Raw genomic sequence first — 18,786 nt, 5'->3', positions numbered from 1 at the left:
AAATGCAGATACAGCATTACCTGGAAAGAAGCTAAAGCTATTATCCATGATGCCCAAATTGCCAAATGGTGTATTCCTCATCTTTTACAGGAGGAGTTAATCCTCAAGGATTGGAATCTAGTTCTCTTTGGCAAATGGATGTCACACATGTTTCTTCATTTGGGAAACTGGCTTATGTACATGTATGTGTGTACACCTTTTTTCACTTTGTCTGGGCTACATGCCAACCAGGAGAGTCTTCCGCCTGTGTTAAACATCACCTTTTGCAGTGTTTTGCAGTGATGGGCATTCCAGCTTCTATTAAAACAGACAATTCCCCCAGGCTATACTAGCCAAGCTCTAGTACATTTTTCTCTATATGGATATTAAACACATTACTGGTATCCCATATAATTCTCAAGGACAAGTCATAGTAGAAAGAATGAATCTCTCCCTGTAAGAGCAGTTGCAAAAACAGAAAGGGGGAACAGGGATTATGGGACAGCCCATACACAATTGAATCTAGCATTATTAACTTTAAATTTTTTGAGTGTGCCTAAAGGCCAAATGTTAGCAGCTGAACAGCATCTATAGAAACCAGCTGCAAAGACAGAAGCAAAACAACTGGTTTGATGGAGAGATCTGATAACAAAAAGTTGGGAAATAGGTAAAATAATAACAGGGTAGAGGTTATGCTTGTGTTTTTCCAGGACTGAGTCAACAGCTGATTTGGATATCATCAAGAAACCTGAAACCTTATCATGAGTCAGATGCTGAGGAAGAGATTCCAGGAAGAACCCAAGGAACCCCTGGTTGCAGTCATGTCGAGACTGACACTGAGGAGGACCCCAACTGTCATGAGCAGCACCCATTGAACACAGCCACCCACCTGGGGACAGATCAAGAAGCTGTCACAGATGGTGGAAGAAAACCTGAGGAAAGAGGGACAACCAGTCACAATGAGTAATTTAACGGTAGCTATGATAGTGGTGATCACCATTGCCATGAGTATTCCTTCAACAAGGGCTGACACAGAGAACAATTATACTTATTGGGCATATTTATCAATCTTGGCTGGCAATAATGCCTGGATGTAATCACTCTATGACACAGTTATGCATGCTTTCTGATCTCAGTATTTGTCATAATAAATCTGGTCCTACAATTGAGGCATACTGGCCTCAAAAACCTATTTGTAAACAGAATTGAACCTGGGCAGAAAAAATGAATGTACTTGTTTAGGAAGATTGCATTGCAGAACAGGCAAAGGTGCTGGTGCAACGATTCCTATGGAATCATTATTGATTTGTCCCTAATGGGCTGTTTAGATTGAATTGCACCCCTCTGCATGCCATGGCCATACTATGTTCAGCTGGTCTGAATAAAATGGTCAGATGGTAGAAACGATAAGAAATATGGCAAGAGTTCCTATTATCTGGCACCATGGTGGTATAGTGGCCCCTCAACCTCAAATGATATGGCCTGTTATAGGACCTAAACATAAGGATTTGTGGAAACTATTAATGACTCTTAATAAGAACAAAATTTAGGAAAGAATAAAAAGCATCTAGAAGCACACTCTAAAAATTTGTCTTTGGATATTGTAAAATTAAAAGAACAAATATTTAAAGCATTCCAGGCACACCTGACCTTAATGCCAGGAACTGCAGTACTTGAAGGAGCTGCAGTTGGGTTAGCAGCTAGTAATCCATTAAAATGGACAAAAACACTTGGAAGCTCTATGATTTCAATGATGATTGTGCTTTTAATCTGTGTTGTTTGTCTTTGTGTAGTATGCAGATGCAGATCCTGACTCCTGTGAGAAGTAGCTCACTGTGACAAAGCTGCCTTTGTTTTTATCTCTTTGCAAAATAAAGAAGGGGGACATGTTGGGAACAGGCCCCTGGATCTGGCCATAAACTGCCCCAAAACTGGCCCTAAGCAAAATCTCTGCAGCACTGTGACATGCTCTTGATGGCCATGACACCCACGCTGAAGGTTGTGGGTTTACTGGAATGATGGCAAGGAACACCTGGCCCACCAAGGGCGGAAAACCCCTTAAAGGCGTTCTTAAACCACAAACAATAGCATGAGCTATCTGTGCCTTAAGGACATGCTCCTGCTGCAGATAACTAGCCAGACCCATCCCTTTACTTTGGCCCATCCTTTTATTTCCCATAAGAAATACTTTTAGTTAATATATAATCTATAGAAACAATGCTTATCACTGACTTGCTGTCAGTAAATATGTGGGTAAATCTCTGTTCAGGGCTCTCAGCTCTGAAGGCTGTGGGACCCCTGATTTCCCACTCCACACTCTGTATTTCTGTGGGCCTTTAATTCCTCTAGTGCCACTGGGTTAGGGTCTCCATGACCGAGCTAGTCTTGGCACCTGTGCAAGGCACAGGACTCTCCGTTTCCTGCCTATGACATGGGGTCAGAAGGAGCATGGGTAAGACTTGGTACTTTAGCCTCATCCTTCCCAGCAGACTCAGGCCTGGTCTCCAGCATCCCTTCCTCCCCCTTACCTGTGAGAGAAGGACTCTATCCTGGAGGCCAGGATCTTCACAGCAAAACCATGTTCTGAATAACAATGACTTCCTATCCTGGGATATTATCTCCCAAATCGACCTCATCCAGCCCACCTTTTCTGGGTGACTTGGCTGCACCAACATCCTTCTTTGAGTTCTCTGGGGAGTCCTTGTGGCTCTGGGGGTGACAAGGATGGAGCTGAATCAGATGGGCCTAGCTGGTGAGGGAGGGCTGTCTGCCTCACTTCACCTGGGGGGGCATGTGCCTTATAGAACAGTGTCTGCATACCTTCCTGAGCCTCCAACCCACAGTCCCACCTCATCCTCAGCACCCCTGCAGTCCACCGCCTCTTCCCTCCCACATCCTGAGCCCTCCCTTCCCATCTGCTGCTCCTCAGCCCACCATGGCATGGCTTCCACCTGAGCACACTGCCCAAAGCACTCTCCCCAGGGTCACCAATGCCACTGTTAGGGCCCAGCCCAAGGATCTTCTCCAGCCCTGATGTGTGTGACTTCTCAGCAGCACCCCCCACCACTGCACACTCCCTCCTCCTCTTCCCTGACCAACATGATCCCCCTGTCCCTCCCTCTCTGGCTCCATCCCCTTCCACCAGTCCTGAGCTGGGGATGTGCCTGGGCCCAGCCTCTTCTCTTTCTCACCTCATCCTCTCCATGGCTTCAAATATCCTCCTTCCACCATGAAGTTCCCATGGCAAATCCTAATCCTGGCCCTGATCAGGCTTTACAGATGGAGGGGACAGCTGCCTCCCAGGCATCACATGTGGCTGACCCTTAAGCGTCACTGAAGACTTGTCTTGTGGGAATGGAATTTAGCTTCCTCCACAAACTGGCCGCTGCTCTGTGTAGGTCCCCCTTCCCTGTTGAATCACTAATCCTAATCTCCCAACTGGCCCATGGTCCCCTACCTCTGTGGCCAAGCCCTGGGATGGGCATTTCTCCTGTTTCAAGACTGCCACTTGGAACCCCTCTAATAAGCCCACTGCTCTCTAAGTCAAGCTTCCTAAGCCAGCACTCTCAGGCACCAACCTAAAGCCAGCCTCAGTTTCTTCCTGCCTCCCACTCAGGTCTAGAAGGGCCAAAACACAGAAGGCTGAAGACCATGCCCCTGCCCTCCCACCTCTGTGCTTTTGTCCAGGCTGCCCCTGATATTCCATTCTTTCAGGCATGCACACTCATCTTTCTAGGCCTAGGTGAAATAAGCCCTCTTCTCAAATGCCAGAATGACCACTGATGGCAGAATTACACCCCATCCCCCAACTTACAGGCTGTGAGGAGAGTGGGGAGTAGGTGGCATAATTTTCCATTCCTACCTAGGCACCAGGGGAACAAAGGAGAGCCCCTCCCTGCCTTTGGGAGCTGAGGCCTCCTCTCAGAAACCCTCCAGCAAACACAGGCCTGCCTGGATGCCCATTGAGCAAATGGGGACCTGGGACCCCAGGGTGTGCCCATCAGCCAGGCAGGCCTGCTTGGCTTGGCTTGGCTGAGAGCTCAAAAGTCTCAGCCCTGAGCAGAGTCTGGGTCAGCTTCCAGATAGAACAGCGCACCCAGATCCACCCATCCCAGCCAGCCCCATCTTTTCTTCCCTACCCAGCTCTCAGCAGTGGGATTAGGGTGCATTTCCCAGAAATGTGTGGGCCCAAACATGACCCACTGGAAGCATGGAGCAGGAGCCTCAGACAGAGGTTTTGCCAGCACAGAAAGGCATACCAGGGACATGGAGAGAAGCTACTATCCCTCCCCTGTATCCCACGACATAGAAATAGGACCTCCGGGAGCTCAGATATGGTCCCCTCCTTCTCACCCCAAATAAGGGTGTATGAGGCTCAGAAAGGTCCAGAGTCTGACCTAAGGACACCGGTCAGAAGGAAACCAGATTCCCTTCCACAGCCACACCCCCACGGCTGCTGCACTGCCCAAAACCCTAGCCACTGAGAGTCTTCAATAACTGCATCTGCTGTCACCCCTCCATGAAACTGCCAAGAAGCACAAGGATGCACAAGGACTTCCTCTCCCTTCCGGCGACCCAACAGCTCCCAGGCAGGGTAACCCCAAGCTCTTGGTAAGTGAGCAGCCATGCCCCACAGTGAAAAACTGCCTGACACTAATGACTGAGCAGACAGGAGTAGGAGGGGCAGAGATCGATTGGTTTTCAAGAAGCAGCAAGAGGAAGGGCAGATAGGAGGAGGAACTTACCCTACAAGGTCCCAGAGAAAGGCTGTGTTGACTGGTATGCCCCTGGAATGAGGGGAGAAGGAGGAAGGGCCCCCACCCACTGTGAAGCAGCAGTTTTGAGCTCTGAGATCCCAGAAGTGGGGAGGCAGAGACCTGGACCTAGATGAGAAACCTGTGCTCCTTGGCGTGTCTAGAATGGGAGGCATGGATAAGGAGAGGGAAGACAAGGCCAGGTGGCCACAGGCCCCATCCTCCCTCCCCAGCTCTGGGAGCCCACCACCTGCAGAGGGCATCTATCCCCTGATCAGATTTCAAAACAACGTGGCTGGTTCCCCAGAGGCCTCCTTTTACCCATGAGGGTCTGTCCTGCCCCTCCTCCTTCCTCTGGAGAACCCTGAAGGTCTCATCATCTCTGGGTGAAGCCCTGGGGACCTCCCCAGTGAGAGAGTAGCCAACTTGTTCATGAGGACTCCACTGCTCCCTGGTGCCACCCTCTCCTGGGCCCTGGGGTCTCAGGACTGCCATGTTAGCAAAGTAGCCAGTTCCCTGGTGCCATCTGTGTTCCTCACTCCAGTCTCTGCCGCTACCCTTGCTCTAATGCAGCTGGTGGGTCCCAGGCTGGAGCTCGAGCTGGCTTTGGGCTTCAATGGGCCACACTTACCAGGGCTGCCCCAGGAAGGGTGCACTCCCCTTGCCTTGCATCTGGCTGAAGGTTGGCCAGAAGGACGGCTATGGGCCAGGAGGCCCCAGTGGCTCCAGGATACCAGAAAACACAGCTATCTGCACTCGGGCCTATCTCCCTATACCCCCAGAAAGGGGCCACTCCTGGCAAGGCCACTGGGTGACAGGAGAACCCGGCATTTGGGGTACTTGCACCCCTGAAGATTGAGGGCCTAGGAGACTGGCTGACAGCATAAGCGCCCTGAATGGGGGTCCTCTGCTCAGCTTCCACCCCAGAGGGTTGGGCAGAACTGCTTTGGCAACAGCTGATGTAGAGCTGGGCCCAGGCCCTGAGGGGCTGCCCCAGTCTGCCAATCACAGGCACTGAGCATCTCCTCTGCCTTCTGGGCCTAGAGGCCAGCTGGGGCCTCTGGTTCCTGCTGCCCCCTGCAGGTGCCCTGACAGTCACCTCCTTCCTGAGAGTCACTGGTGATGGTGAGAGGGAGGTGGATGGAACCCCCCATCACTGTCTCCCAGAGGACAACTGCACTGGTACCCCAGGCCTCTGAGCTCCAACTGAGAAGCTGGTGGCTCCACCTTCCCATCCTCACAGCCCCTTCCCTGCCAGGAGGGAACCAAGTCTCTCCCAGGGGGAACAGAGCTGGCAGCAAGAGGCCAAGGGCAGCTCAGCTGGGGAGAGGGAGCATGCCCACCTCGCCAGGGCACCCCCCAGGGCCTCTGCTGTGCTCCCAGGGCCCCGTCAGGACAGCTCTGGCATCCATCCTAACCAGCTTAAGTGGGAGCCAGGATCTCCCTACAGCCCTGCCCCTCCAGGCCCAGGGACCCAGGCAGAGGCTGTGCCTCTCCATAGCTCCCACCATGGGTTCTGGGCCTCACACAATGACCAGATGGGAAGAAGGGCCAGGCCTAGGCAGAACCCGTCTCTTACCCACTCCCCAGATTGAAAAAGAAATAGGTCATTTCACATGTCATGATTTTGTATAAATATTTGTAAGAAATTTACTAAAAACCTATATGAATTAATAAATTAATTAGATACAATCAGATACAAGATCAACATACAAACTTAAATTGTACTACTGTATAAAATTAGTCAATCTAAAAATTAAATGAAGACAAAAATACCATTGGTAAAAGCCTCTTAAAGGAAGAAATAGTCAGAAATAACTTTAAGAAAATAAGAGCAATGACATCATAGTGAAAAATTATTTTAAAATGCTAAAAGTAATCAAAGAACTGAATATGTTGAGAGACATCAATATTCAAGAATAACAATGCTTAATATTAATATCAAAATACTAAAAGCTGGATCTATAGATTTAATGCAAATTCTCTAGGTTTTTTCAACAAAAATTTTAAACCTCTTCCTAAAATGCATGTGGATACGCAAAGGAAATAAAATATATGCATTTTTTGAAAAGAATAACAAAATTTAGTTACTTACACTGCCAATATCTTTTTTTTTTTTTTTTCAGAGACAGGGTCTTGCTCTGTCACCTTGGCTGGAGTTCAGTGGCAGGATTACAGCTCACTGCAACCTGGAACTTCTGGGCTCAAGTGATCTTCCCACCTCAGCCTCATGAGTAGCTGGGACTACAAGTGCATGCCACTCATCCCGCTAACATTTGTTTTTTCTTGTAGAGATGGGATCTTGGTGTGTTGCCCACGATAGTCTCAGACCCCTGGGCTCAAGCAATTCTCCTGCCTTGGCCTCCCAAAATGCTTGGATTACAAGTGTTAGCCACCTTGCTCACCCATCCAGTATCAATTTTTACTGCAATGTTATAGTCTGGTACTAGCATAAGTATAGATTCATGTAGGCCAACAGAATAGAATAGAAGGGCCACTAATAAACACATTAATTTATGGTAAATTGATTGTGTCAAAGATGCCAAGAAATTGTAAAAGGAAAATAAATGTCTTTTCAAAAAATTTTGCTGGGAAAATTAAATATACACTTTGCAAAAGGAAAAAGTGGACTCCTAACTCAAACCACAGACCCCCAAAAATACTCAGAAAGGGTAATATATCAAAATGTAAGAGGTTAAAGACAAAATTCTTTGGAGAAATCTTATAGTTAATATTTGTATTCTTGGGTTACATAAATATGTCTAAGATATTACACCAAAGGCACAATTTTATTAAAAAAATAAATTATACTTTATTGAATTGGAAACTTTTGTTTTTAGAACATCAAAAAGAATATGAAAACATATGCTGCTTAATGGGAAAAATATTTTAAATTGTATACATTATTTGGGTATATTAGGGTTTATAAAGAACACACACACATATATATTTTATATATATATCATATATATTTTATATAAAATCTCATTTATATATGGAATCTTAAAAACCAAACTCAGAGAAGCTAGTATCTAGAATATATAAAAAACTCTTATCGGTCAATAATAAAACAACAATTGACCAATTAAAAATGGACAAAAGATTTGAATAGATGTTTTCCATAGAAGATACACAATTTGCCAATTTGCTCAATTTCATCAGTTGTTAAGAAAATACAAATCAAACCACAATTAGTACTAGTTGACACCCACTAGAATGGCTATACCAAAGATACAATGACAAATGTTAGAAAAGAAGTGGAGAATATGGAACTCACATATGCTGCAAATAGGAATGTAAAATATTCTGCCACCTTGAAAATAAAACAATACGAAATAAAAATGTGGCTATCCCTCAAAATGTTGCACATAAAATCACTATAGGACACAGAAATTCTAACCCAAAGTTAGTATGCAAAGGAAATTCCTATAATCATACAAAGACGCTCATATGAATGCACATAACATGTGGTCATGTCCATGCAATAGAACTCCACTTGCCATCCAAGAGGAATAATGTAATGATGCAATGATGCAAACTACAACAGAAATGAAACCCAAAAACATTAGGCTAAGCGAAAGGAACCAGACCCAAAAGACCACATAATTCATGATCCTGGCTATTAGAAACTCTGATAATAGGCTCATCTATAGAGACATAAAATTGATTGTTGTCTAGATCTGACATGGCAAAGGTGAATGCAAGTAGGATGCATTTTCCTCTTAAGGGATACAAATATTCTAAACTTAGATGGTAATTAAGCTCGCATGGCTCTATAAATATACCAAATAGCCTGGAGTTGTACTTAAAATATGTGATTATATTATATAAAATATACCCCAGTAAAGCATTTTAAAAAATTAACAGGTCAACATACACTAAGGTTGTTTAAGATTTTGAGAAACCCAGGGCACAGATTGTAAAAATGAAATCTATTTCTTGTCCATTTCAAAGCATAATAAAGAAAATGGAGGCAGCAAGCTAACACGCAAAGGTTTGGTTAGTGATGCAGGTGTATTAATGGGCAGGAACCATGTGATTCGTTTAACCAGGTCAGAAAAGCAAAGGAAATGATCGTAATTTATTGAAGACCACTCTGACTCAGAGTGACTCAGATTGTTAGGAATGTGAAAGCTGTACTCGTAGGTTTGGGCATATTTCTTATCAAACACAGCTCAAAAGAGCCATCTCACAGAAAGGTTATCAACGACTCTCCTATCCGCAGTTTCCTGGAGTTTTACAGTTGTCTATCGCCAGCCCTAAAACTGCATTGTAGTCACTCATTCTAAACCCAATGTAGCACTCAAATCTAATACGAAACTCCACATTTCATGACTACCACGTTCAATAAATTGCCTTTTATTTTTTTCATTTTTTGGCCAGCCCTCCGCATTCCCTCTGTTTGTAGCCCTACCTGTCGCCGCTCGCTCTGGAGCAAAATTGTCCACCTCGGGAGCTGGGGCTGCGGGTCCGCGTACTGCGCCGGGCGCCCGTGTTGGCTGGTTCAGGAGCTGTGGGGCGGGCTTGGAGCTCACAGGGCGCAGATGTCCCCTGACAGCCCCGGGAGCCCGCGGCCGCCCCCCGCACCAGGCCGCGCTCCCCTCAGCAGGCGCCCCAAGGGTTCTGATCTGGGCTGGAAATTGAGCCCAGCAGAGAAGGAGGAGGGGGAGCGCCGACCCCACCCTCCGCTCCGCACGGTCGGCCAAGTAAACCCAATTCCAATTCCGTAATAAAAGGATGCAGAGGTGCGCAACTAGCTCCGTTCCTTCCTGCTGCCTGCCCTTAAGGGGTGGCCCCACTGTCTCCAAGGCTCAAGGAGCTTCCCCGCCCAGGAGCCCCGCGACTCCCCCGAACTAAGTTTGCCAAGCGCCAAGTGTGGCAGGCGGGAGCCCAGGCCTCCTGGCCGCGTCCACCGGGCGATGCAGAGAGCGATGCCAGTTTCACTTCCTTCCTCCGGGACCCAGAAAGGTCTGAAGACGGGAAAATACCCCGCGCCGGGTAGGGGCGACCCTAGGAGCCCCACGGATCTATCTCCCAGACGCCCTACAGAAGGACCCTGCAAGACCTAACCTGCTGAGGCCCCTTCTTTCCACCCTTTACCTCTCGGGGGAGCCATCATTCCCCTGAGTGTCCCCCTAGGTTATTCACGCGCACCCCGCATTGACCTCTGGCCTTGGAGCACCCTCGAGTGTTCCCCGCCCGGAACATGGGACTCCACAATTATTCCCCTCCAAAGACTCCTCCCAAACCTGTCTCCTGGCATCAGCGACACTGACACACTGCGGCAACTGCCCAGGCTGCCCCCTTCCCCGCCCCAACCACCTCGGGGTCTCCACAATGAGTTCCCCAGGTCGAGGGCTGTACTGAGACCCTGCACAGCGACCCCGACTCACAGGAGGACCCTCCAGCACTCCCTCAGACATCCCGCCCCCCCTACAGGGGAGACTAGGCCCCACCCTCCACCCAGACGATGGCTTCCCCCAGCCACCCCTAAAAATATGCTTTCCCGGAGACCCCGCACAGGGCGCCTCTGTCACACAGGGGCGACCCCATAAATCCCTCCCCAGACATCTTCCCCCCTCCCCAGATGGAGATCTCACAAGCGGAGAGCTCCCCTGGAGAGGATCCTCAGAAACCATCCTCAAAGCCACCACCACAGTCAGAAAGACCCAAGGGAGAATCGTGGGCACGAAACACATCTCCACACATGCACTCCTCCCGGCACTCACGGCCACCTCACCCCATGGAGACCTCAAAATGCTCTCCGTATGTTGCAGGGAAAAGAAAGGGAGAGCCCAGCAGAACTTCCCGCAGGAGAATCCATTTTCCTTTTATTCATTATGCAGTGGAGCCTAAGTGCAGGGCACGAAGGATTTTACACAAAATTTTAAGTTGTTAGGTATAGGTTTTCATGGAAATGTAAACATTTAACAAAGATACAGATAATAGATAATAAACCCATCCTAAGTACATTATCACTAGGTTTCAGCAATTCTTATTTTGCCATTTATTTTCAACGATCAATCCAAATATCCTAGTAGTATTTTAAATCAAATATAAGATACAATATCATTAATTTTGGAAAAACTTAAGTAACTATATCTAACAAGTGAAGATAAAAAAGAAAATATTATCACAACTAATATAATTTTTAATATATAAAATAGATAAATTTGTGTATTCACCAGAGTAGACTTTACAACCACTGAAGGTTTTGCATGAAATGTTTTAACATGTTTAGTCTAATATTTTATCTTCAGACAAAATATCAATACATGAAAACATTCAATTACATATAAAGGGCCATAGATTATGGTTGGAGGAGGAAATCGCAAATTGACGGTGGGATATTCCAAACCACTGCACTGTGAAAGTAAACGCAAGAAAGAAAATAGGGATTCCTATAGTTCCCGATAAAAGGAAAGGAAAGGTAACTCGCAGAGAGCCACTCCCTCACTTTGCCATATTCAAATGTCTAGAACAAGGCACAGGTCTGGCCATACCCAAGAAAAGATGAGGATTCAGGTGTAACAAAAGACAGCAGAGATCATGGGGCATCTTAGGATTCTGCCCCCTACATCCACCCTTGCACAAAAACTTGATCTAACATCTCACATTGGTGGGGATCTGGTGTTCTTGTAAGAGAAAAGAAAGTCTCAGAAAGTGGTTCCCTTGTAGACTCTGAGGCAGTTGCTCCTCAGCACCTTCTATTTTGGAAGCCAGAAAATTATTTCTTGATTGACAAGGGGGGCAGTCCTGTGCACCATAGGAGTCCCATTGTTGACTGCATGTCAGTAGCTGCCACCAGTTATTACAACCAGAACTGCGTGAGTAAACTTCCTCAGGATGCAGAAGCCGCTCCCGTGAGAACCTCAGCTCCTCTCCATATGCAAACAGACAGATGCAGGCAGCACCAGCAATCTCTTGAACCACTGCAGTGCACTGGAAAATGTGAGGTGCGGTGTGTCCCAGTGTTAGAATTATAGACAGGCTTTTGTTTTGTTGATAAGCGCTGAGACCATACAATGCATCGGGGCAAGATTAGCTGGGAAAATGATCTTCTGATAAGGTTTTGAACCCAGATGCTCCTCCTTTGTTGTTTTCCCGGAACTGGGTAAATTCAGTTTTCACTTCTGTAGCTCCCCTAACAATCCCAAGGCCAGGTCTTTTACTGCTTCCCTAGGTGGAGTGACCATTATCAGCCTGGGAGAAGATGAGCTGATTTCATCTCTTCCTTTATAACCATGACGTGGGGGCCTCATTTCACATGCACAGATTCCCTCCGAAGACTAGATGAGCAGACCTGAGCCACCCTGGTGCTTGGAGTAACGACAGTCTTGCCCCAATGCCACTCTCTCTTCCCAACATTGTTGAGTTTTGGGCCATCATGCATTCAGTGCCTCAGTGGACAGAGAACCAAACCCAGGTGCTCTCACAAATCTGGAGCCAATTCTAAAGTTTTTTTAGCTCCAGCTCAGCTCAGACCACTGTCACCTGCTAGGGACTGTGGGTGACTGTGGACACCACTGGCACCTGCTTGAGACTGGGTGACTGGACTCTGAGCTGGGATGTGCTGTGTCCATGTGACACTCCTTCTCTCCAAGAGTTGTTCAAGAAGGTGGTGCCCTAGGAATGCCATCTGGACCCAGTGAAAGAGGAAGGGCAGGAAGCACCTGGCACCCACTGTTCATCCCACCATCACCCAGTTCCACAATGTGGCTAACTTGAAGATACTTCCTCTTGATGAAAATCCTAAACAAACAAACAAACAAAAAAATAACAAATAAAACAAAGAAGAAAAAAAGAAAATCCTAATATTGTTGTTTCTTTCAGCAGAAGTGATATTTTCTAGTCTTTACAGTTGAGAAGTTCAGGGTCTTATAAGGCCAATTTTTCTCTTTAAGATAAGATGGCATTAGAGCACCCAATACCAATGAAATTCATGCTGATAACCCTTTTCAAAGCAGCGGCATCTTGATGCAAGTCTTTGTATTCACACAGCCGTGACATAGCCTAGGAAAGTAAGTCAAAGAGAAAACAGGTACAATTTTAAAAAGGGCTCCAACTTTTTTTTTTTCGAGATGGAGTCTTGCTCTGTTGCCCAGGCTTGAGTGCAGTGGCACGATCTCGGCTCACTGCAAGCTCCGCCTCCCAGGTTCACACCATTCTCCTGCCTCAGCCTCCTGAGTAGCTGTGACTATAGGCGCCCGCCACCATGCCCAGCTAATTTTTTGTATTTTTAATAGAGATGAGGTTTCACCATGTTAGCCAGGATGGTCTCGATCTCCTGACCTCGTGATCCTCCCTCCTCGGCCTCCCAAAGTTCTGGGATTATAGGCCTGAGCCACCGTGCCCGGCCGGGCTCCAGCATTTTTTAAAAGGCATCACTGATGAGAAGCCACACATGCAGATTCCTTTAGATGGTCCCTTTGCAACTGCTTTGGCTGAGGTTTACACTGCCAGGTTCTGAGGATGCTACTCCCTGCCCATTCACTAAGGTGATCTCCTTTAAGGGCTATGAATAGATTGCCAGGGCTATGAATAGATTGCCAGAGCCAAGAGGAACTTACTTTATTAAGTTATTTTAAAATTGGGCTCATCGCTTGATGATAGTCACATAAAAAATAAAATAGGACTCCCAAAGATTTCAAGAGTATTGTGACAAGCTCCTAACAACAATATCTGTTACCTGTGCACTTGTTCCTTCAATGTAATAAACATGCACTTGTGCCAAAAAATCGATTTACTCAGTGATTCAAATTCTACCAAATTCTTGTTAGTTACTATATACTCAAAGCAAATTTTAATGAGACAGGTTTGTTCTGGGCTATTTGGAACATCCAAGAAGTCTAATGACTGAAGCACCATAAGGTGCTACTTTACATGCACATTGTGGTAGAAAAATGTATTATTCTAAAGTATCACCAAGATACCAGAGAAAGTGCCAATTTTATATATGTCTATTTCAGTTGTAATTTTCCTGTATACTCACCAAGGGTCAGAAGCCATAAATCTTACATTACCCCATGAAAGTTACCATTTTCATTAAAAACCCATGTCCTTCCTACAGCCAGTACTTGAAACACTGGCACCTTATACAGTCTAAGTACAAGTCTCTCAGCCACTACTGCTTTGTCTAATAAACTCATGGGACTGCACCGTGATATATACGGTAGACAATGACATAAATTTGCAAACTGTGTAAGTAAAAGACAGTCAAGAGTGGTAACTGCATTGTGTATATAGGTATAATTAAGAATACAATTGCATTTATTCAAGCATTGTTGTATGAACGGATAGAGGTTAAAAACAAAGCCCATTAAAATCAGATTAAATTTAATTAAAAATATTCTGAATTATGGTCATAGCAGAGAGAATATCAATACATTTTTAAGAATATGGATCATTGGCCTGGCGCAGTGGCTCACGCCTGTAATCCCAGCACTTTGGGAGGCCAAGGTGGGCAGATCACCTGAGGTCGGGAGTTCGAGACCAGCCTGACCAACATGGTGAAACCCAGTCTCTACTAAAAATACAAAATTAGCTGGTCGTGGTGGCATATGCCTGTAATCCCAGCTACTCGGGAGGCTGAGGCAGAAGAATTGCTTGAACCCAGGAGGCAGAGGTTGTGGTGGGCCGAGATTGCACTCCAGCCTGGGTAAAAAGAGTGAAACTCCGTCTCAAAAAACAAAAAAAACTAATTAATTAATTAATTAAGAATATGGATCCTTCTATAGACCATAAAAGATAAGAAATATGATGCCAAAGAAATAAGCTCTTTGCTCTGTTAATTTTAAGGCTTTCATTTTCCAAATCACTACTTAATATGATTTTGTAACAGATTTTGGCTTTTGTGGCCTATGGAAAACTCCACTAAGTGACTTCACATCCTTACCTCCAGTTTCTGGGCTTTATCTTTGTGAAGAAAGCTAAATAGAAAATACAGGTCATGGTCATTTGCCAAGGCACACAGGTCAAAGTAATATTTTGCATAAACACTGGCAGACACATGAATATTAAACTCAAGTAGCTCCAAGAAACACTTCTCCATCTTGCTCCTGGGGGAGGAGAAACACAATAAAACCAACATAGGACAATTCTAGTCAAGTGGGTTATCTTTAAAAATATCATTCTGAGCTACTAGGATGCTCTAAATTCTATTTTGAAACACATAAAGGCTGCATGATCAGGTCCCTACACTAATGTCCAAATAAGACACAGCTGCTTGGGGCTCTTCTGCATCCCAGCACCCCAAGTTTGGGATAAGGGAAAGGTGGAAGCCTCTTCTGCACTCCTGCTGCTGAATCGGGGCTCATTCTTCAGAGTTCCCTTAGGGCAGCTGCACAACTCAAACTCCATGCTCACTCACAAGACACGCAATAGCAATCACATGACAGGAATGATGGGTGTCATTTATTAGCTCTTTAGTACCTCCAGGCATTTTTACCAGGACGATAACAGGAAGGGGCTTACTGAAGTAGAGAAGCACCAACAAGAGGACTGGGTGCATCACCACAGCAACAAATGGACCCATGGAGAGCCACCCTATTATCTCAGAGGAGGAAAAACTCTAAGGCTACAAGAAGGATTCATCCCAAATAATTACGTAAGCAAGCTACATTCCATGGCAAAAAGAATCCCCTTCCCTCTGCTCCAGCCCACAAGGCTATGTCAAAGGGGCATAACACAAGTTTCTGCTCACCTTAGTATTATGAAGAGTTGAAACTGCCACTGTGACAGGACAAGGATATTCTTTAAAGTTTGAAAGGCAGAAAAATCAAGGAGAGACATTTTGGCTAGACTAAACCCATTTTACGATGTGATTTCTAGAAGGGCCCTGGCCTTACACATGCGGTGTTGCTCCTGAGTTGGGAATGCAACCGTGAAGCGCTCAGCATCTGTCACCCCTGGCCAGAACGGGATGTGGGGGAGTTGAATGCAGTGGGAGACTAAAGGGCTGGGAGCCGTCCTCTGCCACACGGTCATCCAGCCGCCCTCACCAAGGCTAAATTAATAGGTACACAGTTAGAGTAAATCTGGCTGCTTTCAGAGTAACCCCTGTAATGAGTTAATTGCTTAAAAATGATCACTATCTAAACAATATATTTGGTTTCTTGGTTTGAAAGTTTTAATATTTTACCCACTGGCTAAGTCAACAAATGCTTGATGTTCTCCTGTAAGGGGGGCAGTTAGACCACGAGCCAAAATGAGGTGATCTCATTTGCTGAACTTAAAACCCAGCTGAACCTACTTCCAAAATTAATTTTCTGTTCAAATGTCCATAAGTCCATAGAAATGTAAATATATATATTTGAATTATATATATATAATTCGAATTATATATATATAATTCAAATAAATATGAATATTATTTCATATATTTATATATTTGAATTATATATAATATATATAAAATTATATATATAATTCAATTATATATAATTAAATTATATATATAATTTAATTATATATAATTCAAATATATATATAATTCAATTATATATATAATTCAAATTATATATATAATTCAAATAATATATGAATAGATAGCTAATCAGGACTAGACTTATGACAGGAATTAAAGGCACTTCACTATCCCTTTTTATTTTCTCCATTAGTACGTTGTAACCGTGTAGAAATACAGTACTTCACAGAATTAACATATTAATAGAAATTTAATCCTGAAGAAAATCATTCTGTGTATAGAATATGCATCTTCTGGGCTTTGTGGTTTCTTTTAAATGGCTAGATGATTGAATAGCATACCCTTTACAGACACAGCAAATTTTCCAAATAGCAGCTACTTAGTTTAACTTACTCTTTAGAAAGGAAATATTCTAGGGAGACACATAGATATTGGAAAGTTTTTTTATTTTATTATTATTATACTTTAAGTTTTAGGGTACATGTGCACAACGTGCAGGTTTGTTACATATGTATACATGTGCCATGTGGGGATATTGGAAAGTTTTAAGAAAAATCTGATCAACACCAATTTTTTAACTGTTACATTTACACTCAAAACGGGACCATTGCAAAGAGTCAACAGCAGGGGGCTGAAACAAATGTCTATAAACACTTTGATGTAATGCTTTTCAAATTCCCAAGATCATAAACAGAAGCAGCCTTCTTGGAGCATAGCTCCTGGTGTTTCACCATTCACACACCAACAGCACTGTTTGGAACCGGTCTTCTTGGAGCTAGGCTCTGCCCCACTGCTCCTGGAGCTCACTTCTGTGGAAACCTGCACATATCCCTGCATGCTCTCTGATCTTGTGACTAGAACTCAGAGCCCCAGCCAGCTGAGCTGCAGGTTTTGAGAACAATTCAGCTGCCATGATGGTAGAACTAAGTGTTCATGATTACAAATTTGAAGCCGCCTTTGCAAAAATTGTAACTAAGAAAATCGTGACAGTGAAAGAGAGCTGATCTGACTTCATCTTGCTTCTAACCTCCAAGGTGTCCTTGTTCATTCCTAGGCAGAGGCCAAACTAACTTTAGGATGAACTTAGTTTATAGTTTAATTTTGAAACAAAGACAGTAGCAGCCCTTTCCCAAAACAAACCCGCTTCCTGCCTGGGGACTAGCCTGCCTTTCCAGGACTAACAAATTAGCCACAAGATTAGAAATTATGGTTTAGGAGTCATGCGGCTGAAGGCTGCAAGAGTCTGAACCTCCCCATATTTCTCCTGGGAATAATATCACTATTGTAAAACCTAAGATCAGTGCTTGAGATATTTTGCAGGCCCTGTGCTGGGCAAAGGTGGCACCACTCCAAGCAATAAACTTGGCTCATCTGGTTTTGTGGCCCCCACCCAGGAGCCATCTCAGTGCAGGAGGACAGCTTCAACTCTCTGTGATTCCATCTCTGATCTGATCAATCAGCACTCACCACTTTCTGACCCCCTACCCACCAAATTATTCTTTAAAAAACCATCCCAGAGTTTTCAGAGAGACTAATTTGAGTAATAGTAAAACTCTGGTCTCCCGTACAGCTGCCTCTGCATGAACTAAACTCTTTCTCTATTGCAATTTGCCTGTCTTAATAAATCAGCGCTGACTAGGCAGCAGGCAAGGAGAAGTTGGGCAGTCACAAATCTTGCTTCCTTTGAGGAACCAGTTTACAAATGGATGACTATGATCAAGGCCACCTTAGTGTTTGCAACATCCAAAGTATTTCCGTTAGTTTCAAATTCATTTGCGGTCACACTCTTTGCTAAAATGGCTACCAGAAATATCACCATGATCACTTGGTTTACACTATTGGCAAAGTGGTGGCAAAAGTAGATTTTTGTTTTTCTTTTTGAGACAAGGTCTGGCTCCATCACCCAGGGCTGGTGTGCAGTGATGTGATCACAGTTCACTACAGCCTCAACTTCCCAGGCTCAGGCAATTCTCCCACCTCAAACTCCCAGGTAGCTAGGACTACTACAGCTGCCTGCCACCATGCCCGGCTAATTTTTTTAAAAAAACTGTACAGACAGGGTTCACTGTGTTACCCAGCAGGTCTTCAACTCCTGAGCTCAAGTGATCCACTCACCTCAGCCTCCTGAAGTGCTGGGATAACAGGCATGAGCCACTGAGCTCAGCCGCAAAGGGCTCATTTTTAAATGTAGATATACACTGAGGTATACCTACAACAGACACTATATCTTCAATTGCAGACATACACTGAGGTGATTCAGAATGACAGTATTATCTGGAGTCATGGACAAAGGTCACAAAACTAACTTGTCCCATGCCTGGCATGATCTTGATCTGCTGCTGCTGCTCAGTGTGAACAAGGGCTGCTCCCTTGTCTTGCACAGATGCAGCCTGCACAGCTGTCCTCACTGTCGAGCAGGCACCCAGGAAGGCTCTGCTGGAAATGCCTCCCTGCTCTCCCTGCCTGCCAGCTGCAGGTCCCTTCCCTTCACAGCAGTCATGAGGTCAGATTGGAAGGGAGCCCTGGTGAAGCTGCGTTTCAGTGTCATGTTGGTGCATCTGGGAGGAACCCCATGACTCCACAAGACTCCTTGCACTCTCATGGGCAACTCCAGACCCCAGCATGCTG

At 45.1% G+C, this 18,786-nt stretch overlaps 1 pseudogene across 1 annotated transcript in view; it reads right to left on the bottom strand.

Annotated features, from left to right (window-relative positions):
• Positions 1 to 10,561: 10,561 nt before the first annotated feature.
• The window catches only part of CCNYL3 (cyclin Y like 3 (pseudogene)), a 29,980-nt pseudogene continuing 21,755 nt past the window's right edge, over positions 10,562 to 18,786 (bottom strand). The window contains exons 10-11 of the transcript NR_158158.1: positions 14,629 to 14,791; positions 10,562 to 12,746 (exon numbers count right to left, since the gene is read on the bottom strand). The product of NR_158158.1 is annotated as a cyclin Y like 3 (pseudogene) (transcript). The remainder of the gene's footprint in view (positions 12,747 to 14,628; positions 14,792 to 18,786) is intronic.

The sequence above is a fragment of the Homo sapiens genome, chromosome 16 (assembly GCF_000001405.40).
Source record: "Homo sapiens chromosome 16, GRCh38.p14 Primary Assembly".
Classification (NCBI taxonomy): Eukaryota; Metazoa; Chordata; class Mammalia; order Primates; family Hominidae; genus Homo; species Homo sapiens.
This window is presented reverse-complemented; position numbering and strand designations above follow the sequence as displayed.